General features: G+C 43.7%; 2 long non-coding RNA genes across 6 annotated transcripts in view, besides 1 other annotated feature; one reads left to right on the top strand and one right to left on the bottom strand.

Annotated features, from left to right (window-relative positions):
• Positions 1-9544, bottom strand: part of LOC105369995 (uncharacterized) — a 36373-nt gene extending 26829 nt beyond the window's left edge. For all 4 annotated transcript variants that reach the window (NR_188422.1, NR_188424.1, NR_188423.1 and 1 more), the window contains exons 1-2: positions 9305-9544; positions 6212-7093 (exon numbers count right to left, since the gene is read on the bottom strand). This is a non-coding gene — a long non-coding RNA (uncharacterized LOC105369995). The remainder of the gene's footprint in view (positions 1-6211; positions 7094-9304) is intronic.
• Positions 9545-9635: 91 nt separating this feature from the next.
• On the top strand, positions 9636-13461 carry LOC105369994 (uncharacterized). 2 transcript variants are annotated; one of them, XR_945359.2, is made up of 3 exons: positions 9636-11265; positions 12321-12419; positions 12987-13461. It is a non-coding gene; the product is annotated as an uncharacterized LOC105369994 (long non-coding RNA). The 2 variants fall into 2 exon arrangements; XR_945358.2 differs by having other exon boundaries at positions 12853-13461.
• Positions 21960-22548: an enhancer, noted in NCBI's record as "H3K27ac-H3K4me1 hESC enhancer chr12:114501919-114502507 (GRCh37/hg19 assembly coordinates)". NCBI's record gives its function as "activates a minimal SCP1, AML or CMV promoter by ChIP-STARR-seq in primed H9 embryonic stem cells {active_cell/tissue: H9 hESC(primed)}" and the evidence as "EXISTENCE:reporter gene assay evidence [ECO:0000049][PMID:30033119]".

Here is a 24201-nt window from a genome sequence, read left to right as displayed (position 1 = left end):
CAAAGTCACAATTTTGGGCATCCAATCAAATGTCCAGGCATATGGAGAATCAAGAAAATACAACTCATGACTGGGTGTGTTGGCTCATGCCTGTAATCCCAACACTTTGGGAGGCTGAGGCAGATGGATTGCTTGAGGCTGGGAGTTTGAGACCAGCCTGAGCCAACATATTGAGACCTCACATCTCCAAATCTTTAAAACTTAGCTGGGCCTGGTGGTATGTGCCTATAGCCCAGCTACTCAGTTTGAGGGAGGAGGGTTGCTTGAGCCCAAGAATTTAGGGCCACAGAGAGCTATGATTGTACCACTGCACCCCAGCCTGGATGACAGAATGAGACCTCATCTCTAAATTATAAAAGTACAACTCATAAGATCAATAAAAACAGGTCTAGAAATCATAATTAGAACAGGGACACTAAAACAGATACCTACAACCCATATGTTTGAGAAAGAAGACTGAACATGTTAAATGGAGGCATGAAAGATTTGAAAGACAAGACTATTCTGTTCCATTGATCTATATCTCTGTTTTGGTACCAGTACAATGCTGTTTTGGTTACTGTAGCCTTGTAGTATAGTTTGAAGTCAGGTAGCGTGATGCCTCCAGCTTTGTTCTTTTGGCTTAGGATTGACTTGGCGATGCAGGCTCTTTTTTGGTTCCATATGAACTTTAAAGTAGTTTTTTCCAATTCTGTGAAGAAAGTCATTGGTAGCTTGATGGGGTGGCATTGAATCTATAAATTACCTTGGGCAGTATGGCCATTTTCATGATATTGATTCTTCCTATCCATGAGCATGGAATATTCTTCCATTTGTTTGTATCTTCTTTAATTTCATTGAGCAGTGGTTTGTAGTTCTCCTTAAAGAGGTCCTTCACGTTCCTTGTAAGGTGGATTCCTAGGTATTTTATTCTCTTTGAAGCAATTGTGAATGGGAGTTCACTCATGATTTGGCTCTCTGTTTGTCTGTTATTGGTGTATAAGAATGCTTGTGATTTTTGTACATTGATTTTGTATCCTGAGACTTTGCTGAAGTTACTTATCAGCTTAAGGAGATTTTGGGCTGAGACAATGGGGTTTTCTAGATACACAATCATGTCATCTGCAAACAGGGACAATTTGACTTCCTCTTTTCCTAATTGAATACCCTTTATTTCCTTCTTCTGCCTAATTGCCCTGGCCAGAACTTCCAACACTATGTTGAATAGGAGTGGTGAGAGAGGGCATCCCTGTCTTGTGCCAGTTTTCAAAGAGAATGCTTCCAGTTTTTTGTCCATTCAATATGATATTGGCTGTGGGTTTGTCATAGATAGCTCTTATTATTTTGAGATACGTCCCATCAATACCTAATTTATTGAGAGTTTTTAGCATGAAGTGTTGTTGAATTTTGTCAAAGGCCTTTTCTGCATCTATTGAGATAATCATGTGGTTTTTGTGTTTGGTTCTGTTTATGTGCTGGATTACATTTATTGATTTGCATATATTGAACCAGCCTTGCATCCCAGGGATGAAGCCCACTTGATCAAAGCCCTCAGAAATAACGCTGCATATCTACAACTATCTCATCTTTGACAAACCTGAGAAAAACAAGCAATGGGGAAAGGATTACCTATTTAATAAATGGTGCTGGGAAACCTGGCTAGCCATATGGAGAAAGCTGAAACTGGATCCCTTCCTTACACCTTATACAAAAATCAATTCAAGATGGATTAAAGACTTAAATGTTAGACCTAAAACCATAAAAACCCTAGAAGAAAACCTAGGCATTACCATTCAGGACATAGGCGCATGGGCAAGGACTTCACGTCTAAAACACCAAAAGCAATGGCAACAAATGCCAAAATTGACAAATGGGATCTAATTAAACTAAAGAGCTTCTGCACAGCAAAAGAAACTACCATCAGAGTGAACAGGCAACCCACAAAATGGGAGAAAATTTTCGCAACCTACTCATCTGACAAAGGGCTAATATCCAGAATCTACAATGAAAATTTACAAGAAAAAAGCAAACAACCCCATCAAAAATTGGGCGAAGGACATGAACAGACACTTCTCAAAAGAAGACATTTATGCAGCCAAAAAACACAGAAAAAATGCTTACCATCACTGGCCATCAGAGAAATGCAAATCAAAACCACAATGAGATATCATCTCACACCAGTTAGAATGGCAATCATTAAAAAGTCAGGAAACAACAGGTGCTGGAGAGGATGTGGAGAAATAGGAACACTTCTACACTGTTGGTGGGACTGTAAACTAGTTCAACCATTGTGGAAGTCAGTGTGGCGATTCCTCAGGGATCTAGAACTAGAAATACCATTTGACCCAGCCATCCCATTACTGGGTATATACCCAAAGGACTATAAATCATGCTGCTATAAAGACACATGCACACGTATGTTTATTGTGGCACTATTCACAATAGCAAAGACTTGGAACCAACCCAAATGTCCAACAATGATAGACTGGATTAAGAAAATGTGGCACATATACACCATGGAATACTATGCAGCCATAAAAAATGATGAGTTCATGTCCTTTGTAGGGACACGAATGAAATTGGAAATCATCATTCTCAGTAAACTATCGCAAGAACAAAAAACCAAACACCGCATATTCTCACTCATAGGTGGGAATTGAACAATGAGAACACATGGACACAGGAAGGGGAACATCACACTCTGGGGACTGTTGTGGGGTGGGGGGAGGGATAGCATTGGGAGATATACCTAATGCTAGATGACGAGTTAGTGGGTGCAGCGCACCAGCATGTCACATGTATACATATGTAACTAACCTGCACGTTGTGCACATGTACCCTAAAACTTAAAGTATAATAATAAAAAAAAATAAAAAGTTGAAATTATGAATAAATAAATAAGTACAAAAAAAAAGACAAGACTAGTGACTTATGTGAAGCTAGATGGTATAGCTTACTCATACCCAGGCTATATGATATGGCCTGCTCCTAGGCTACAAACCTGTGTAGCATATTACTGAATACCATAGGCAGCTGTAACACAACATTATTTTCATCTTAAAGTATAGTAAAAATAGGGTGTAAAGGATGACCTGTACTTGTATAGGGCACTTACCATGAATGGTGCCTGCAGGACTGGAAGCTGCTGTGAGTCAGTGAATGTAAAGACCTGGGATGATACTGTACTCTACTGTAGCCTTCGTAAACATAATATACTTAAGCTATACTAACTTAATAAAACTTTAGTACCAAATTATCTTTAACTTAAACTCCTTAACTGTAATTGAAATTTTGATAATACTTAGCTTAAAACACTGTACATACATACAAGAATGTTTTTATCCTTATTCTATAAGCTTGTTTCTATTTACCCTTTAGACCTTCGTTAAGCTAAGATGTCAGCACACAAAGTAGCCTCGGCCTACACGGGGTCAGGATCACCAATAGCACTGTTCCCTACCTCTACACCTTGTCCCACTAGAAGATCTTCAGAGGCAGTAATATGGATGGGGCTGTCATCTCCTATGATAACAATGCATCCTTCTGGAATGCCTCCCGAAGGACCTGCCTGTGTCTGTCTTAGTTAACTTGATATGTAGAGGGAAATACTCAAATAGTAGATAAACCAGTAAGCAATCACTGAAGTATGATGTATTGCACATAACTGTATGCTATACTTTCAGATGACTGGCAGTCTATTAGGTTTGTTTACATCAGCATTGCTGCAAACATGAGTAACGCATTGCACTACAACATTATGACAGCTACGGCATCACTAGGCAACAGGAATTTTCAGCTCCACTAATCTTATGGGAACACCATCTTATACACTGTCCATGGAGTGAAACACAGGTACGTGGCTGTAATTGGAGTCCCTGAAGGGCAGGGGAGGGACAAAAACATGGCCAAAATGTTCCAAACTTCATGAAAACCATAAACCCACAGATGCCAGGAGCCCAGTGAACTTCAAAAAACATGATGAATTGTTGCTTGTTTTTAAGCAATCTTATTTAAAATGTTGCCCACTGTCTTCTGGCTTGAATTGCTTCTAAAGAAATGTTTCTCATTCTGCTATACATTATACTTTTAAAATTCCCTTAACTAAGGTATATCATAAAGTACTGAGAAAATCTGACAACATACTTATTCCTAGTGAATCTTACACAAAAGCAAAACAATTTCAGCTTCTGTCTTTCCATCTTTTATCATTGGCAGACTTCTATTGTGGTATAAGAAATGCTAAAGAAATTCAGGTAGGAGGAAGAAATGCCAAGTAAATCTCCAGAAATAGTAAATATGTAGGTCAAGACTTAATTTACTTTAAAGATAACTCAGTTTAAACAACGTATCACAGGGTTTATAACATGTAGAAGTGAAATGACTATAGCACAAAGTCTGGGAGAAGGAAGTATAGCTTCTTGTATGTGAAGTGGCATATTCAAGGTGGACTGGAAGTTTAAGCATATACTGTAAGCCCTAAAGCAACCAAAACAGTTATAGCTAAAAGTAGACAAAGGAGATAGGATAATAAAAGCAGGCAGAAAAAATGAAAACAAATTACACAAAAATAGATGGCATACTTAAATCTAAACATGAGATAAATATGACCCAAATAGCACTACTAAAGTGTATGGATCATCAAAGTTCATAAAAATAAGTTTCTTGTAGGCAGCCTATGGTTGAGTCTTTATCCAAAGACACAAATGGTTAATGATGGGAAGATGCACCATGCTAACGCAGGTCAGAAGAAAGCTGGAGTGGCTGTGTCAGTATCAAAACACCTTGGAGCAAGGAGTATTACCAGGCATGAAGCCGCTCCATAATGATAGTAATAATTAGACTAGATATCTATGTAAATGTACAACTCTTAGTAACAATGACTTAGAATTCTAACACTCAAATTTGGAGTTGATATACTCAATTCTCTTTCATTACTGCTTACAAGCTGTAGCTGTAGAACTTTTTCCTGTATGCCAGAGCTGAGGTTAGAGCAGCTAACAGAACTAGGTGGTGTAAAAAAATGCTATATTAAATAGAATAAGCTAGTCTTTGGTTAAGCACCTTGCCTTTTAAACATAAAAGAGCAAACTGAACACTTGGCCTATTAGTGGCATTAAGGGAAAAAGAAAAATGTACAAATATGAGAAATTTTTGAGACAACACAAATGGACAGCAAACATAAGGAAATGCATGTTCTCATATAAAACATTGGATACATTTGTCACACTGGTTTAAAAAAAAATGCAGGCAGCTGGGCACGGTGGCTCACACCTTTAATCCCAGCACTTTGGAAGGCCGAGGCAGGCGGATCACCTGAGGTGAGGAGTTTGAGACCAGCCTGACCAACATGGAGAAACCCCATCTCTACTAAAAATACAAAAAATCATGCGGGCGTGGTGGTACGTGCCTATAATCCCAGCTACTAGGGAGGCTGGGGCAGGAGAATTGCTTGAACCCAGGAGGCGGCGGTTGCAGTGAGCTGAGATTGCACCATTGCACTCCAGCCTGGGCAACAGGAGCAAAACTCCACCTTGAGGGAAAAAAAAAAAAAAATCCAGGCTGGCAAGAATGGGGAGAGGCATCTCATACCAAGGAATATGAAGAAATGTTTACCCTTAAACAGGGATAGCAAATCTTTAGGAATAGATACCAGGGTCTTTAGTCCTTCCTGGTTACACATTATACATACTTCCCAAAACGTATGTAGCCCTTTAGAAATTGAGATTATGCTGTTTCCAGGCAAAAATTAGGTACCCACTGTGTTGGGATCTCCACTGTACCCAGTGTCAATGATTCACAAGTAGGACTCTCAGTACAGCCATGGCTGTACTGATGGCTATTACTTACACAATGAAAGATCCAAAGCACAATCAGCTAAGAGAAAAGGCACTGGGGCAAGGTCTGGAAGAAAACACAAGCTTGAGTGCCTTCTCCCAGTGCGGTCACCAAGGCTTAACTCCCCAGCTATGAGTAAAACTCATGATGTGTCTTCTGCCAGGGAAGCCTGTTAGAAACTCAGCACCTAAGGTTTTAATTGAGGTCTAGCCAAAATAGGCATCCTCTGCTTTAGTACATATTCAAATTCCAAACTCCAAGAAAAGGTGTTCATATACCACATTGTTTGCACAAGTGACTTGGGCACAATGAGTCATTCTCACCAGAGAGTGGTGGGAACTCACACACAACCCAAGTTCAAGTGAGCGTCCTGCTATAGTAACACTCTTCTACGTACCTCCTTCCCAGATTGGGTGACTTCCCTTCCTCTGCATCCTTAGAGTCCTTTTGCTGAGAATCTGTTCATTGAAACTTGTCTTTTGGATATGTTGATGTTCCGTTGTGAATTCTGGGTTCTGCAAATAGAACTCTCACAGGAGCCCGTTATAGCAGTCTCCAGGGTCAGGGTTATGATTCACTTTGCAGTGTAAGTTGTCAAGGAGGCATCTCCTTGGGATAGTGTTCAACTTAGCTATCAAGTCATGCTGGAAGAATGGCAACATGGCTCTGCCACACAACCTCTCAGTAGCATGAAATTTCCTAGAAGAAATCTACTTCTAGCAAAGCTGTATGCTTGTAGCAGAGCCTGAATGAATTGTAAGAATTGGCGGAGCTAGTCAATGAGTGTGATCCTAGGCGGGAATCAGTTATTGAGGAATTTGACATGTTGGTTCCATGCATGATAAATGGTCAAGAGGTGCTTTGTAGATCCTATTGGGAAAAGACTGAATAACAAATCTCAGAATTGAGAGGGCTGTCAGCTTGTGAAGACGTGACTATGGTAGGAGAGATCCACATTTGAGCTTTCATGTGAATATTGCCTCTGTTTCTGTTCGTAAGCAGGTACTATAAGCATGCAGAGTAACTCTTGGTGCTGTCCTGTGGACCTAGCTGTCCTAGAGAAGATCTTGTTCAGACAAATAACACGGGCAAACACCTTTGGCTACTGAGGTCTTTCCACAAAGAAATAAGGGAATCACACTGACCTTTTTCCCTGAGATGTGCCCTTCGAGCCAGTGGCCCAGAGAGAAGCTCTAAGGGATGACGGGCACAGTCCTCAGTGTCTAAAACATAGCTGGAGACTGACTTGTTCAAATCCAGTCCTTGGCTATGAAGATCCCTGTAAGGACAGATGGGCCACCATACTTGTCACATTCTTACCCTTCATTCATAGGAACTCATACCTCTAGGCATGTTCAGTACTGAAGCCAGTTCTAAGTTCGTTTCCAAAGAACAAGTTTATCGTCTCTAAACCTGGCTCTGTCAATGTTGCAATCTGCCTGCTTTGCTGTTACCTGTGTCCCCTTGATGTGGACCTATGCATCTTAGGATTTCCAGGCTGGGCCTGGACTCTTTCGTCACCTACGTTATGCATGAAACAGGAGCCAATAAAACCCACTGAGTCCCCAGAGGAAAATCATGGTGCAGGACTGCAGTCAATGACCATTTCACCAAGTTTTTATTTACCAGAGACTTACTAAAGATGCCAAGGGAACCGCATTCTCATTCCCAACTTGGTATCCTTTTTGTGGGGAGCTAGCTCTGACACTAATCAGCAATGTCCTCCACCCTCAGGCAGCAGCATGAAATCCTAAAGAGCCTTTGCCAAGCTTCTGCTGGCCAGCCTTTGAAAAGTCTGACTCTTCTCATTGCTGAACACCCAAAGAGCAACCAACAAAATGATGTTCACTCCCCATAAAGACCACAGCTCCCCAGTAGTCCTGTTAGTGTACCCTTTAGACTACAGAGGTTTCTTGGGCTGGAATAATCTTCTTCTGACCTATACTTAAGATCAAAATGAAGATGAGATCATGTGTTCCATCATGGCTTCTGCAAATGTCAAATGTGTTTAAATTTACATGCATCTCTTCTAATTTATCCTTGAAAGTGGGATATGGACTCCTGCTATCCAAAGTTTTAGATGGGGAAAATAATGCAATCCCAACCAACCTAAAACCCCCAATCAGTTTCCCCCATGTATCACTAAAGCCCTCTTAAAACCCATGACAATCAAAGGAACTCAAACAAAACAAGCATTGTTTTCCTAAATAACATTTAATGTACTAATTAGGTATCTGTGTACAGTACACAATGGTGCTATAGACAGTACAGCAGGAATTATGACTTCTTTCTATACCACAGTAAAGTACTACCAATAGTGATGGTGTAAATGCAAATGCTAGCATACTTCAAAGTAAAACTGGGCTTCATCTGTGGAATGTTTAGTCACTGCCCTTCAAGTTGAAGGGGAATGAGAGTTCACTAGAGAACAAATGGGAAAATTGACCAGGATTCAACCACATCTGAAGTCAAGGAATGGTCCCAAAGTAGATAATTGTGTCCTACCCTCTGAAGCCATAGAACAAGAGTCGAAGGGTATGTTGTCTTCCCTCTGTTGGCAATTAGGTGGCTTGAGACTTTGTATGCTCTTGCAAGTGAGCATAAGAGAAGCATTGTATTCAAACCTGCAGTCATGACTGCAGTTCAAGGATTTTAAAGGCTTGGCATTATCTAGCCTCTTCTGCTAGTGAGAAGAATCAAACTGAATATGTTCTTCAGTGGCAATTTCTTGGCCCTTGCTAATGAGAGTGGGTTTAGTTGACAAGAAATGTTAAACAGTCACTATTTAAAATTCTGCAGTCTCAGAAGTTTTTGTGAGGGTAGTATAATTCTCTAGAAATAGGGAACTAGACCCTGCTTAAATAATTCTTGGTTCCTGGGTCCTCATAGAGACAGAAGGAACAGAAATAAAAACCTTAGGTATAGGGACTTCAAGTTCTGGTCATCCCTATGTGATGCAGTGGAATTCTACCGAGATACTCCTGAGACTATACAACCAAGTTCCTAGTAGTGGGATCCTTCACCTGAGTGAGCTCAGTCCCCTCTATGAAAACCTGGGCTGTCTTCTGTCCTGTCCTGTGGGGCTCTGGAATGGCCCTCAGTTGGTCTGAAAGTAGATTTCTAAGCAAAACGCTCTCTATCTCTGCCCAAAGGCCTTTCCAGGATAGATTACTGGGATAAGTGTGGTCAACTTGGTTTTGCCAAAGGGGCATGAATGTGAGCCCTCACTGGGGAGGGTCTGCCCTTCCCTGATAACTTCTAACAATGTCATTTCTCATAAGGACATCTCCACTTCACTCTGATACATGAAGTTGTCTTTCTTTCTTTGGATCTGATTCCTGAACCTGTCCTTGTGGACCAAAGCTCTTATATCCTGGTCAAGTGGGAAGAAGGAAGCTTTGAGTCCCAGTTACTTCATGCAATGGTGTTCTGTCCTTCATCAGGAAGTCTACTGACCTGTGAGCTGACCTTCTCATAATAGTCAACTCACCTTGTGTCTATCTTCTCTCTATACACCATCTGCATGGAATCCCCCATACAAATACCTTGATGAGGATCCTAACTGGAGACTGAATCCATCTCTGATTACCCATAGGTATGGGCAGGGTTGAGGGAACCAACAAGAGAAGTTGGTGTGTCCCTCTGCTCTCTCAGGACTTCATGACCACCCCACCCTTCCCAGAGCTGAGAGGACGGGGGAAGTAACCAGTGCTTCTGGTAACAGGCTTCTGGAATCCTCCTGACTGAGCTGTTGTCATGGAAGCTGAAGTCATAAAGAAAAGTGGTCCCTGGCTGGGGAGAAGGCGACGGACTACCCAACCTCCTCCACTTTCTATCACCTGCTGGTGCCTCTCATTGACTACATCTACTTGCTCTCTTGTCCTGTCTTCCAGGTGAAGACAAGCAGGTGATCTTCTCTGAACACAGGACAGAGTGAAGAAGTTCTCAGGGAAGGGCTGACCCTCCAAAGATGTCATTTCTTACAAGGACATCTCCACTTTGATACATGAAGCTATCTTTCTCTCCTTGGATCTGATTCCTGAACGCTGTCACCATGTACCAATGCTCTCATATCCTGATTGAGTTGGAAGAAGGAAGCTTGAGTCCCAGTTACTTCATGCAATGGTGTGTGCTGTGCATCAGGAAGTCTACTGGCCTGTGAGCTGACCTTCTCATAGTCAACTCACCTTCTGTCCACACACCATTTGCATGGAATCCCCCACACAAATACCACTATCAGGATCCTAACTGGAGATAGAATCCATCTCTGATTACCCATAGGCATGGGCAGGGTTGAGGGAACTAACAAGAAGTTGGCATGTCCCTCTACAGTCTCAGGGCTTCATGACCACCCCAACTCTCCCAGAGCTGAGAGGACAGAGAAGTAACCAGTGCTCCTGGGCCTGACTGAGCTGTTATCATGGAAGCCGAAGTCATAAAGGGAAGTGGCCCCTGGCTGGGGAGAAGGCAACTGACTACCCTCCCTCCACTTGTCTTTCCGTCACCTGCTGGTGCCTCTCATTGACTACATCTACTCACTCTCTTGCCCTGTCTTCTAGGTGAAGACAAACAGATGATCCTCTCTGAGCACAGGACAGAGTGAAAAATGATAGGCTAGATCTCTGGAGGCAAACCAAATAATCAGCACACCCACTCAGAGATCCTGCTGTCAGCCTATTTTTGGCCTGTGTTCGACTATAGAGAGGAAGATTGACCCTTTCTGGTATCAGAAATGTATATGATCCTCCCTACCATTGGAATCCCCTGCACTAGGGTGGCCCCTGCATACTTAGAGCCTCTATTTTTACTGTGGTCTCCCTGCCTTAGTCATAAGGAGATTCCCTCCACATTGTGCCTGATACAGTTGTCCTATCCGATCTCACCACCATTGCTGCCATCATTGATACTCTCCTGCTGGGGCCTCTTCCTGCTTAAGTTCTTTTCTGTTCTGCTGCTGTGACTGACATCGACTCTATACCTCCTGTCCCCACTACTACATTAAAGCCCCTTGTGGACAAGAGATCAAAAATTAAGTGTGATATTCTCAATGCAGTGAGAATATTCCTGGTTTTTCTCAGTTCTCACTGGAACGTAGTTCTCCGACTGGTTCTCTGTACAATTAAAGAAAGCTGCATGCGAGCAGGCGAAACTATGGCTTAAAAGGCTGAAGGTGCAGGGATCTGAACTCAATTCTGGGACAGCTGCTTCATTAACAGAAATTAGCATCTTGGAAGTATCTCCTATCCTAGGGCTTGTTCTTTGTGGATACAGAAGATGCCCGGGGATTCTTTCTACATCCCTTGGGTTCTTTGCCATTTTCACAGCCACTGGCTCCCGACACTTTGCCTCTTAACAGCCAGTGCTCTATCGTTGAAGGATGGGCCTCAGGCTGCCTTGACTGCACACATGGAGAATCAGGTGCTTTTTAACTAACAACTGAAGGATGCAGGGGTAGGTATGAATACTCCAGCTCCCTCACACCCACAAGGCCAACTGAAGAGATGTATGTTGTCTCCAGGGCTCTGCTGTGGAATTGAGCCAGTTACCCTCTGTGGGACTTTATGTGATATTTATACCCTTATATACTTCCTTCCCTCACTAGTTCCACTTCCTTGAGTGGAAAGATCCCCACTAGTGGATCCCGAGAGCATCTGGTAACTTCCATCTAGGTCCCAGAGCAGACCCTATGATGGGAATGCACAGGGTACCCATGTGGTCTCTTTGCTTTCTATCCAGCACTGCGACCAAGCATACCTCAAAGACTTGTAGAGAATAGATGTAGCTGTTAAGCTCAGTTTAACTTTAAAATGGGCCTAGCACTTGTTTTAAAATAGAGGTAGAGATGGGATTTGAACCTGGATTTATTTAGATCCATAGTTGAGAGCAAACTGTCTGGCATCAATAGCACATGTGATGGAAATGAAACATGGAAGTGAGGACAGGATTACCCTTCAATCTAGTTAGCAATCATCATCTACTAATCCAAAAGACCCTGGGTTGCAGCCAGCTCTGGCTCCATGTGCTGGGATCATCCCCTGTCAGGTAGTTTAAAACCTCATAAAAGAATAGATGTACCAGGTGAGATTTATCTGCATGTAGGAGGAAAGCTTATGGGACAAGCTTCTGGAAAGCAGATCTTAAACGAATCAACATAGGGTGACTTGTGTAATTATGGCTGTACTTGAGGGTTCACTTTGAAATTCATCATGTTCTATACTAATCTATACTTTCCTCTATATATATGATTTACTGTAAAGCTAAAGATCCTATCATTTTTCCTAGTGGGAACTCTGCTCAATCTTCTCATGATATTGCTAAAATAAAAAGCAGAGCTTGTCAGCTGAGTAGCACAGGGGACAAGACCTCATACTACCTCCATTTCATGCTACTAACAATTTGGAATTGATTTTTCCTCTTCCCAAGTCGGCTAACTTGGGAAAAGGGCAATGCAAGAAGTAATGTGTCTACCCTAAACAGCTTGACTCTGTTCTCTTCCTTCCACCCAGAAAATCCCTCAGCTTAAGGCTCTTCCCTGAGGATGACCATGGCACTTCCAGCTGCAGGTCTGGGGTGGCTGCTCATCTCTTGAACCACTGTCCTCCCAGGTAGGTACCAGGTATCTAGCTCAGGTCTCAAGACACTGCCTCTGTTGGTAAGGCCATAAGTCAGAGGGGTCCCATGATGAGGTCAGGCCTTGTCAGCCTGTTGATGGAATTAGAGTAATACCTGGGGGGATGGGGTGTTTGTATTAGTTTTGGCTCTGGAGCTGAAGGAAGAATGCTAGCATTTAGCATCTTGATATATTCTTCGGCACCAGCACATCCTGGGACAGCAATTACACTTCAAAGATTCCTCAGGAGGGGCTGGGGTTGAGCCCCCTGGGAAGTTGTGGCTACCTGAGCAGGCTTGTCCTGCCTGATGTGGGAGGTGGTGGGGGGGGGCATGGGGCGTGAAATCAATAGGATGGAGGGAGGCTTGGCATAAGGCTACAACTGGTGTTGCATCTGAAACCTTTTATACACGCTTGTGCATACACAGATCCCTTGTGTACTGCACCCTACCACCCCAATTTCTCCCTGGGAAGTACATTGATTTGTGCTAGCAACTGCTTACTGGAGGACCCAGCTGTTACAGTGGACACTTTCTCTGGATGTTGGGTGAAACCTATGTAGGATTAAAGGAGAGAAAGCAGACAAGGAGAGCCTCAGGTCATGATGCAGATATAAGGTCTGAAGCCCCAGTGATGTGCTCCAAAGACTGCTCAAAGCTATGCTGCATTGGGCAGAAATGGCCAGGCACTACTACCCCTACTGTGCTCAGTCATCAGCTGGATTTGCTTGGGGAGACCACAGTGACAAGTGCTGCGATGGATCCCAAAGGCACTGCAGCTACCTGCCATCCTACAGCTGAATGGCAAGGCTTGCCTTGAAAAGCAATTCAAGCAGCCCATCTCCAGGGCTGTCACATGGAGCTCTCTTTAACCCATCCTTCCCCCTCTGAATGCTGGGAGAAGCTAAATGCTGGCAGTCTTCCTCCAGCTTCAAATCCAATTAAGTTCACTGGAGAATCTGGGCAATGCCTCCAGATAACATTCCTACTTCCAGCCTGGACAGTGTCACACAGTAGTAGCCCTCCTACAAATCTGTGGTGCTAATAGCAGTCATAATGTTATAAATAAAGTTTTGGTGCCGCAAAAGAAATAGCACTCGAATATTAAATTTTCTTTTTAATCTTCCGCAAGGCAATTTACTTCTAGGGAAGGGTGTACCCTCACAGATGGAGCAGTAGTGAGTGCACACTTGGACAAGGGAGAGGAAGGGGTTCTTATTCCTGACACACATAGCCCCTTCTGCTGTGTCGTACCCCTATTGGCTAGGGTTAGACTGCACAGGCTAAACTAATTCTGATTGGCTAATTTAAAGAGTGGTGGGGTGAGTGGTTTGGCGGGAAAAATGGTTATGGCAGAGAAGGAAATCGGAATGAGTCAGGATGGAGAATAAGCAGGTAACAGGAATGAGGGTGGAGAATGAGCAGGTAACCTGGAATGAGCCAGGGTAGAGACGGGGGCTGGTAACCCAGAGTGAGCCAGGGTGGAGATGGGCAGTGATTGAAAAAGGTTGCTTCACAAGGAAGTTAAGTTTAAAAGTAGAACGCAAAGAATTGAACATACTGACATTCTTTTGAAGAGAAATTTAGAACTCATATCTAACAGCCCCTCCTCTTGCATTTCCTTACAGCTCTTTCTCTCCAAACTTGTTTAACATGTCTTGGCTTAGTCGTTCTGCTTGATTTTCCAAAAGAAGCTTCTCTGGATAAGGTGGAGGATAGTTAAGGGAGGTTTTAGTTAGTGCTGTTTCTATGAGCCTCTGCAGCAACCCATGGATGCATGGTATGACACAGCACCCGACAAAAATAAGTATACCTATTATGGCTGCGAGGGAGGTAAGAATTGAGACTATTATTCCTTTCCATTTACTGAACCACTTTTCTAGCAATCCTGTAAATGGGTCATTTACCCCTGAGTTGCTGGCTAACTCATTGGATAGAGCAGTCAGACCTTGCAATGCCTTTGTTATACTTCCATTAGGGGTGGTGGTGTCTGGGATGAAGGTGCAACATTGAGTTTTAATCATGATGCAAACTCTTCCTCTTTCTGCTAATGTCATGTCTAAGGCTATCCTATTTTCCTGAGCCATCTGGCTAGTAGCCCCTAATTGTTCAGCTATTCTTTTAACAGCAACTCTAGTGTAGTTAATTGCTGTTGGTTGTAATAGATGTAGTTTATCCGATCTAAATTTTTGTTACCACCAAAATATTGACTCAAATCCTGCAGCTATTTGATTTCGGGCTTTAAATTGATCTGGTATCCCCTGTGGGACTCCAGTTGTGTCTAAATTGATGTGAGAGTCAAAAGACCCATAAGGGGCTTCTCTAGCTTTACGATGTCTTATTTTTCCTTCCTCTGGTTGATGAAATGCCAGGGTGAAAGGGATAGCCCATTGGACTAAAGTACAAGTTGCCACTCCAGTTATTCAGCAGAGTGTCCAGTAAAGGTCCACCACAATACCACCACACATCCGCTTGGGGGTGAACAAGGGCTGATTGATAAGCTCTTGAAAATTCTTAAGCTCACTGCATCCCCTCAGGTCCCCAAGGAACGCTAAGTTTCTTCCCTGTCGTGAGAGACACAAAGTGAACTTGGTGTTGGGATACAGAAGCTGGATGGTCCTCAGGGGCTGACCCGCAGGGTGTCAGACTTCAGGATATAGCAGAGAGACAGCTTGGCACCACTTTTTACCCTAGGCTGTAGAATCCTGGAAAAGAGCTACCAGGCAGCCCACCCCCAGTCGACTGGAGGACCACCCTAGTGGAAAGGGGACAATCTGGGCCTCTGGCCTGTGATGTGCACAAGCATAACAATTGCTTTTGTTTAATGTGCGGATGGAATATTTGATCCATTCCAACCAGGCATTTGCATCTTGGTATCCTGTCTCAATTGCCAAAGTTTTAAGTCTTTAACTTCTACCATCACTATCTTGGCCTTGTTAGATGGAGGAGGAACAATGGTTCAGTTGTAAGAGGTTTTGGAAGGAGGCTTAGAGGAAGGTGCAGGTGGCAGGGGATCAAAGAAACACATTTCAAAGAATCCAATAGGGTCTGTCCCTGAAACCTCAGCCCCCATACAATAAAACTGGCTTAAAGAAGGGAACCAGCTTAGAAAAGGGGAAGAACTTTGGGGGCTTGAGATAATAACCTGTATAGGATTGTACTGGTTTAGCTGACAGTGGGGGCTGTCCCTTTGGTAAAATGAATGTATGATTTTAAGAAATTACAAACTGGGGCAGTCCATCCTTGCTGTTTGGTGATCCACAGAACATCAGACCAACTACGGCATAAAAGCTCTACATCAGGGAGGCAAGACTCCTAGTTGGCACTGGGGTCTTTATCAAAATCTCCCCAGATTAAATGGTCTCAATTCACTAATGCCCAGTCTGAGGAGAGCAAGGAGGGACAGAGGTACTTTTCTGAAGTAGAGAGCTGTCTTTGACTTGACAAGTCCCCACAGAGTATAACGAGGCAAGCATCAAATGCAATAGTTTGAGGCGAAATTGTCTTAGTTATGTTAATAACTACAGATGGTCAGCGATAGAGTGAAGAAAGAAGAAAGAGTAATAGAATAGATGAAAGAGTTAAATTCTTCTTAGCTTTAGTTTGGTAGGGTTTTCCCCTGGGACTATGGCCCATGACTCTGGAGGGGGTGGCACCTTCTTGACTCCAATATGCTGAGTCCACCCTCTCTGCTGTGTGGACTGTGGTTTCAGTAGTTAGGAGCACTAAGTAAGGACCTTCCCAGGCTGGCTCAAGCTTCTCCTCTTTCTAGCTCTTGATGAGGATGTGATCCCCAGGCTGTTTGATGCACTGGGAATTCCAAGAGTGGTGCCTGTGCTAATAGACCTTTAGTTTTAAGAGGAGAGAAAGTAGAAGATAGACCAAATACATAAGTTTTAAGGAACTGATCTTTTGTTTCAAAGGTAGGAATATCAGCGGTGGAGTGTAAATAAGGCAATCTGTAGAGCATCTTATAAGGAGAAAGACCAGTATGTTTCCATGGTGCAGTTCGGGTTCTTAGCAGGGCAATAGGTAGACACTTGGTCCATGGCAATCAAGTCTCTAAGACTAATTTGGTTAAGTGGTTCTTTAGAGTCTGATTCATTCTTTCTACTATCCTTGATGAGGGTGGGTGCCAGGGAGTATGGTGTTCCCATCTAATGTCTAATGTTTGGGATAGCTTTTTAATAATATGTGCAGTGAAATGAGTTCCATTGTCTGGGTCAATATTTTCTATTAGTCCAAAACTGGGTACTATATTTTCAATTAGGGCCTTAACTACATTATTGGTTGTTGCATTTGAAAAGGGGATAGCTTCAACCCAGTGAGTGAGGTGGTCTACTATCACTAGTAAATATTTTAGAGGACCTATTGGAGGCATTTCTGTGTAATCAACTTGGATACTTTGGAATGGCCTTAAGCCTGGATTCCTTCCCCTGAGAGGTAACTTTTTTTATAGTTTATTAGTTTTCTTACATACTAAGCAACTATCTGTATAACCTGTTTGGCCAGGGTATAAATTCCCAAACAACCATAAACTCTGAGAACGGCATCACATATGGCCTGGGGCCACCACTGAGTCCACTGATGTAGTTGGGAGAAGACTTCCCTCATAAGAGGTGGTTTAGACAACATTTCTCTCTGGTCTGGCAATATCTATTTTCCTTCTGAATTCTCTTTAGCGCCTATTTTTATTAGTTTTTCTTTTTCAGTGGAAGAGAAAATGGGGATTACGGTAGGAGGAGGGAGGTAGGGAGTTAAGTGAAAAATATGCATTTCAAAAGACGCAGCAGCCTGCTTGGCTACCTGATCTGCTAGGTTATTTCCTTGACTTTCAAAAGAAAGGCTTTCCTGGTATCCAGGAACATGGACAATAGCTATTTCTTCCTGCAACTGTGAAGATATTCAATACTTGGGTGATTCGCTCCTTGTGAACAAGGACATGACCTTTACTGTTGAGACCTCGTTCAGTCCAAATTTTCCCAAATGTATGGGCCACTCCAAAGGCATACCTGGAATTGGTATAGATGGTTCCTTCCTGGTTCTGTAAGTACTTTAAGGCTTGGCTGAGTGCAAACAGCTCACATGTTTGAGCAGACCAATTGTTGGGCAATTTTCCTGACTCTATTTCCACGAGAGTTTCTCCATCAATCACTGAATGCCCATTGTGTCTTTTTCCCTCAATCACCCGGGAGGAACAGTCTATGAATAAGTGCCATCCAGTCCAGAAGGGGGTTTCTCCTATGCCTGGTCAAACCTTTGTTTGGTAATCAATTAAATCTAAACACGTGTGTTCTCTCCTTAGATTTGGATTCTCTGTTAGGAAACCTGCTGAGTTGAGTGAATTATCGTGGTCAATGTTAAATCTTCCTTTTCTAACAAAATGGCCTCATACTTTAAAAGTCTCTAATCAGTAAGCCATCTCCCTGCTCCCTGATTTAGGATAGTTCTAATTTGGTGAGGTGGGCTTACTGTCAATTTTCTTCCAAAGGTTAACTTTCTGCTTTCCTTGACTAGTATTGCTATAGCTGTGATGGACTGGGTGCACTGGGGCCATCCACGAGTGACTGGATCTGAGACCTTTGATAGGAAGGCTACAGGCTGCCGGTGGCCTGTTCTTGAGTCAGCACTCTTAAAGCTACCCCACTGTCCACATTGACAAAAAGGTGGAATGGCTTTTCTAGGGAGGGTAAGGCTAAAACAGGGGCAGTTATGAGCCTTTCCTTCAATTTCTCAACTTGATCAGCTTCCTCAGAAATCCACAGGAGATGGTTAGGCTTCTTCTGGGCAAGTTTTTGATACAACAGTTTACTGTGCAGTGCAGATGAGTCAATCCATAAGCAGCAGTATCCAATTAACCCTAAAAATTTCCTGAGTTCTTGTTTAGTTTGAGGCAAGGGTAGGGAAACGATTCCCTCAATTCATTCAGGCCCTATTCTTCGCTTGCCTGCACTTATTTAGTGGCCTAAATATTTAACTTTGGGCTCTACATACTGACGCTTTCTTTTTGAACTCGTAGCCCCTCAAACTGCAGATGGTTAAGAATGTGTGTAGAGAAGTCAATGACCTTCTCTATATCTTCACCAGCTATAAGAATGTCGTCCACATACTGGAGAAGGCATATTTGTTCTGGGATGACAACTTTTTCTAATACTTCTAAAATCTGGCCAAAAAGATTAGGGGAGTCTGTGAACTCTTGGGGCAAGACTGTCCATCAATATTATTGTTTTCACCCTGAGTGGGGATCTTCCCACTCAAAAGCAAACGTATCTCAGCTATCTTCAGCCAGGAGACATGCCCAAAAACATCCTTCAAATCTATTACAGTAAACCATTGATTATATGGAATCTTGCTGAGAAATGGTGTAAGGATTCAGGACAATGGGGTGGGTAGTCTGGACTATTTGGTTAATAGCTCTAAGGTCCTGTACTAGCCAGTATGACCTGTCTGATTTCTTGACTGGCAGTATTGGGGTGTTATAAGGGGACATACAGGGCTTGAGAAGCCCATCCTTAATAAAGCCTTCAATTATAGGTTTCAACCCTATCCTACCTTCTAGGGGAATTAGGGTACTGCTTCCTTCTTACTACTTCTCCATGGGTTTTTAGCTTGATGTGGATCAGAGGGACTTGGAGTTTCCCTCAGTTTCCTTCTTTGGACCAGACATTAGGATTAATATATTTTTCATCTGCAGTGGTGAGTAGGTTTAATGAGGTAAGGAATCCTCTTGGGCTGACTTGTAAACCTATCCCTAACTTTAAGATTAAATCCCTCCCCAGTAAATTAGTTCCTGCTTCAGGGATTAACAAGAACAGAATATGAGCTGACAGATCCTGGTATCTAACTTCTGTGCTTTCTAAAATTTTTGCTCTAAATCCTTCCTCTTTTACCCCATGAGACTAAAAGTTCCTCTGAGGAGGAGACAACATTAGACTGGGGGGGTGGGGAACAGAGGAGCAAGTGGCCCCTGAATCAACTTGAAAAGGTGATAAGCTCATGTTTAGGTCCCACCTCCAAATTTATCAAAGGCTTCTGATGGGACTCAAGATAAAAGAGCCCCTGACCCCCCTATTTTTCCTCAAAAGTCATGAGTCGAAGGGCTTCTTTCTCCTTTCTTAGTTCAGGACATCCTCTCTTGAAGTGGCCTGTTCTGCCACATCTATAGCACCTATCTTGTCCTTCCTCCCTCTTAGTTCAGGGATTCTTTAACTCTGTTCCCCCATACTCTTTAGGGGTCCTGGTAGATGAGAACCTTGGTCCTCCAGATGGAGGCTGGGGTCCTTTAAAAGAGGGTTCGGACCCTTTATAGTTTCTGGCTCCCTGGAAACTGTCTTAGAAGTACCTGGGTTTGGAGCCATTGTTTGGAAGGTAGAAAACATAAGTTTTGTCTTCTGTTTGTTTTTCTTCGTCCCTTTTCACATATACACTTGGGAAGACTGTCCCCTAATTGTCTCTTTTGTAACTTTTTTGAAATGTCTGGCCAACTTTTTGTGACAAATTGGAGTTTCAACATTCCTTGCCCAAGGGGATCATCCAAACTGAGGCCTGCATATTGCCTCATTTGCTCCCTCAGTCTGTCTAGGAATCTCATAGGCCCTTCATCATTTTCCTGTTATATATCAAATGTTTTAGAAAGATTTTGGGTTTGGGGTACTGATTCCCAAATTCCTTTTATTAACTCCCTTATGTTCTGCATATTTTCCCAGTGATCTGCAGCATTGTCCCACCCGGGGTGTCAGGTGGGGAATTTCTGGTCTGAGGTAGGAACGTTTTCACCAGGAGGGTGCTCACGTTCCCAAACTACCATAGCAGCCCTACGAATGATACTCCTTTCTTCCCCTGAAAAGAGCATGCCCAAGATGGACATTAACTTGATCCAAGTGTATAAATGATGTCCTAAGAATTGGTCACTTTGGTCTGCCACTCCATAAGGGTCATCTAATAGTGGTTTAAGCTCCTTTTTAAAATTCCAGACTTCTGAACTGGTTAAGGGAGCATTTACAAAGCCAACGCCCTCCCCCCACCCCCCTTGTGGTATCTCTTTCAAAGGGAAGAGGGTTGGGGCTGACCCCTTAGGTACAGAGGGAAATGGGAAATTCTGAATATCTTTTTTACATTGTGCTACCTCATGGTGGAGTCCTCTTAGAGAGGGGTATTTAGGTTGGGACAGAACTGGCTGGTGGGATGGTAATTCCCAAGAGTCAAGGTTATAAGGAGAAGGGATAACATGAGTAGAGGGGAGATTTGGGATGGGATCTGAGGCAGCAGTGGCTGCCTAAAGGGAAAGATTGGGGACACTGAGTGGGGGAAGATGGTCTAGGGGATACCATGTACTGGAGTCTTTAGGCATGAGAGCTGGCTCCTCTGACTTCTCATTTTGAGGTGCCAGATTGGGTTCTTCCCTATTTGTTTTTAAGGGGAAAAGGAAGGCAGGTCTTTGCCTCCAACAAAGGGCTTAGCCTAGTTCTTCTTGAGACACTGGATTTTTATCATTAGCATATCGGATTAGAAGCTGACACATTACATCCTCATTCGACCCAAACTTTGACCAGAAGATTGAGGGTTTAGGATTGGTCCCTGAGTTCAAACAAAAGAGCAATATTTTATCATTTGTTGCTTTTTCCTATGTTTAGTCCTTTCATTATCCTTCCAGTATTTTAACATGAGACCTAGGGACTATCTGGGGAAATATCTTTGTTACCATCTTTATCCCTCTTGCTCCCTGTCTTGCTTGGGGTATTTCCCATCTTGATGGTTTTGGAGTAAGCTTCAATTTCCCTTACTGGAAATTTCTCACCTTTTGGGGTGAGGCTCAATTTCCCCTACTGGAAATTTCTTGCCTTTTGGGGTGAGGCTCAATTGCCCCCACTGGAAATTTCTTGCCTTTTCTACTACTGGAGGTTTGTGTAAGGTTCGATCCCCCCAGTGGGGATATCTCACCTCGTTTTCACCTCTAAGCCACCCCAACCAGGGAATACTTCACTGCCCCGCTGTGGCTTTCTTATCTTGGTCCCGACCACTAAGGAAATACTTTGCTGGCTCCCGTGGTTATGGTGTATTTTCCTCAGTCTGTGCACAGACTTGCGTGGCCGTTATGGAGGATCCTTTACCCTAGGTTGCCAGCCGATTTCTTTCCACATTGCAGAGAGCTCAGGTTATTCCTCACACTGGGTGGGTCCCGATTTCTTGCCCCTGAGGCCGCCACAAAGGGGTGGGGCATGCCTCATGAGAGAGAACCAGAGACCACCCCTGGAGGGGAACGTAATCCTGGATGGGCCCCCAAATTGTTATAACTGAAGTTTTGGTGCTTCAAAAGAAATAGCACTGGAATATAAAATTTTCTTTTTAATCCTCAGCAAGGCTATTTGCTTCTAGAGAAGGGTACAGCCTCATAGATGGAACAATGGTGAGCACACACTTGAACAAGGAAGGGGAAGGGGTTCTTACCCCTGACACATGTAGCCCCTGCTGCTGTGTTGTTCCCCTATTGGCTAGGGTTAGACCACATAGGCTAAACTAATTCTGATTGGCTAATTTAAAAAGTTGGAGTGAGTGGTTTGGTGGGAAAAAATGGTTATGACAGAGAAGGAAATCAGAATGAGTCAGGGTGGAGAAAGGAGCCGGTAACCCGGAGGGATTCAGGGTGGAGAAAGGAGCTGGTAAACCAGAGGGAGTCAGGGTGGAGAAAGGAGCCGTTAACCCAGAGGGAGTCAGGGTGGAGAAAGGAGCCGGTAACCCAGAGGGAGTCAGGGTGGAGAAAGGAGCCGTTAACCCAGAGGGAGTCAGGGTGGAGAAAGGAGCTGGTAACCCAGAGGGAGTCAGGGTGGAGAAAGGAGCCGGTAACCCAGAGGGAGTCAGGGTGGAGATAGGAGCCGGTAACCTGGAGGGAGTCAGGGTGGAGATAGGAGCCAGTAACCCAGAGGGAGTCAGGGTGGAGAAAGGAGCCGGTAACCTGGAGGGAGTCAGGGTGGAGATAGGAGCCGGTAACCTGGAGGGAGTCAGGGTGGAGATAGGAGCCGGTAACCTGGAGGGAGTCAGGGTGGAGATAGGAGCTGGTAACCTGGAGGGAGTCAGGGTGGAGATAGGAGCTGGTAACCTGGGAGGGAGTCAGGGTGGAGATAGGAGCTGGTAACCTGGAGGGAGTCAGGGTGGAGAAAGGAGCCGGTAACCCGGGTGGAGTCAGGGTGGAGATAGGAGCCGGTAACCCAGAGGGAGTCAGGGTGGAGAAAGGAGCCGGTAACCCGGGGGGAGTCAGGGTGGAGAAAGGAGCCGGTAACCCGGGGGGAGTCAGGGTGGAGAAAGGAGCCGGTAACCCGGGGGGAGTCAGGGTGGAGAAAGGAGCCGGTAACCCAGAGGGAGTCAGGGTGGAGATAGGAGCCAGTAACCCAGAGGGAGTCAGGGTGGAGATAGGAGCTGGTAACCTGGAGGGAGTCAGGGTGGAGATAGGAGCCGGTAACTGAAAAAGGTTGCTTTATGAGAAAACCACTGACATGCTGTGAGGAAGCCCAAGCTTCCCCTTGAAGAGACATCTGAAAAGAAATAACCTGTATCGACTCACCAACCATGTGACCAGGGCTAAAGAATCCACTTCCAGGAATGCTCAGGTTGCCCCTGCTGACAGGTCCAGCTGTCTGTCCCATCCCCCCAAGCCTGCTCATATGCAGATCCATGGGCAAAAGCAGTGACTACTGTTGACTTCAGGCACTGATTAGGCAATAGACACATAATACGAAGAAGATTCCAGCTCTGAAATCCCAACAATGAGGTATGGGAAGAGAACTCATCTTTCATATAAAGATTAGAGAGGTAAAGTCATGTTCTCAAGATCACAAAACTAGTAAGAGCTGATTGTCATGCGCATCCACGTGAAGAGACCACCAAACAGGCTTTGTGTGAGCAATAAAGCTTTTTAATCACATGGCTGAAGGTGGGCTGAGTCCAAAAAGAAAGTCAGCAAAGGGTGGTGGGATTATCATTAGTTCTTACAGGTTTGGGGATAGGTGGTGGAGTTAGAAGCAATGTTTTGTGGGCAGGGGGTGGATCTCACAAATACATTCTCAAGGGTGGGAAGAATTACAAAGAAACTTCTTAAGGGTGGGGGAGATTACAAGTACACTGATCAGTTAGGGTGGGGCAGAAACAAATCACAATGTTGGAATGTCATCAGTTAAGGCTATTTTCACTTCTTTTGTGGATCTTCAGTTGCTTCAGGCCATCTGGATGTATACGTGCAGGTCACAGGGGATATGATGGCTTAGCTTGGGCTCAGAGGCCTGACATTCCTGTCTTCTTATATTAATAAGAAAAACAAAATAGTGGTGAAGTGTTGGAGTGGTGAAAAATTTGGGGGAGTTATGGGGAGATAATGGGCGATGTCTCTCAGGGCAGCTTTGAACGGGATTGGCGTGGCGTCAGAACCTACAGTGGGAAAGATTCAACTGAAGAAAGATTTTTGGGGTAAGGGGTGATATTGTAGGGTTAGAAGGAGCATTTGTCGTATAGAATTATTGGTGATGGCCTGGATGTGGTTTTATATGAATTGAGAAACTAAACAAAAGACACAAGGTCCGAATAAAAGAAGAAAAATAGGTATTAAAGGACTAAGAATTGGGAGTACCCAGGACGTCCAATTAGAGCGTGTCCAAGGGGGTTCAACATTATTGTTTGCTTGGTTGGTGAGTTTTTGGGCTCTATCCTTGAGTTTTTTTATGTTGTCATATACCAGGCCAGATTGATTTAGGTAAAAACAACACTCTTCATTTAAAAATATACAGAGTT

This window comes from Homo sapiens, chromosome 12 (assembly GCF_000001405.40).
Source record: "Homo sapiens chromosome 12, GRCh38.p14 Primary Assembly".
NCBI classification, from domain to species: Eukaryota; Metazoa; Chordata; class Mammalia; order Primates; family Hominidae; genus Homo; species Homo sapiens.
Note: the sequence above shows the minus strand (reverse complement) of the source record. Positions and strands in the feature narration are given on the sequence as shown.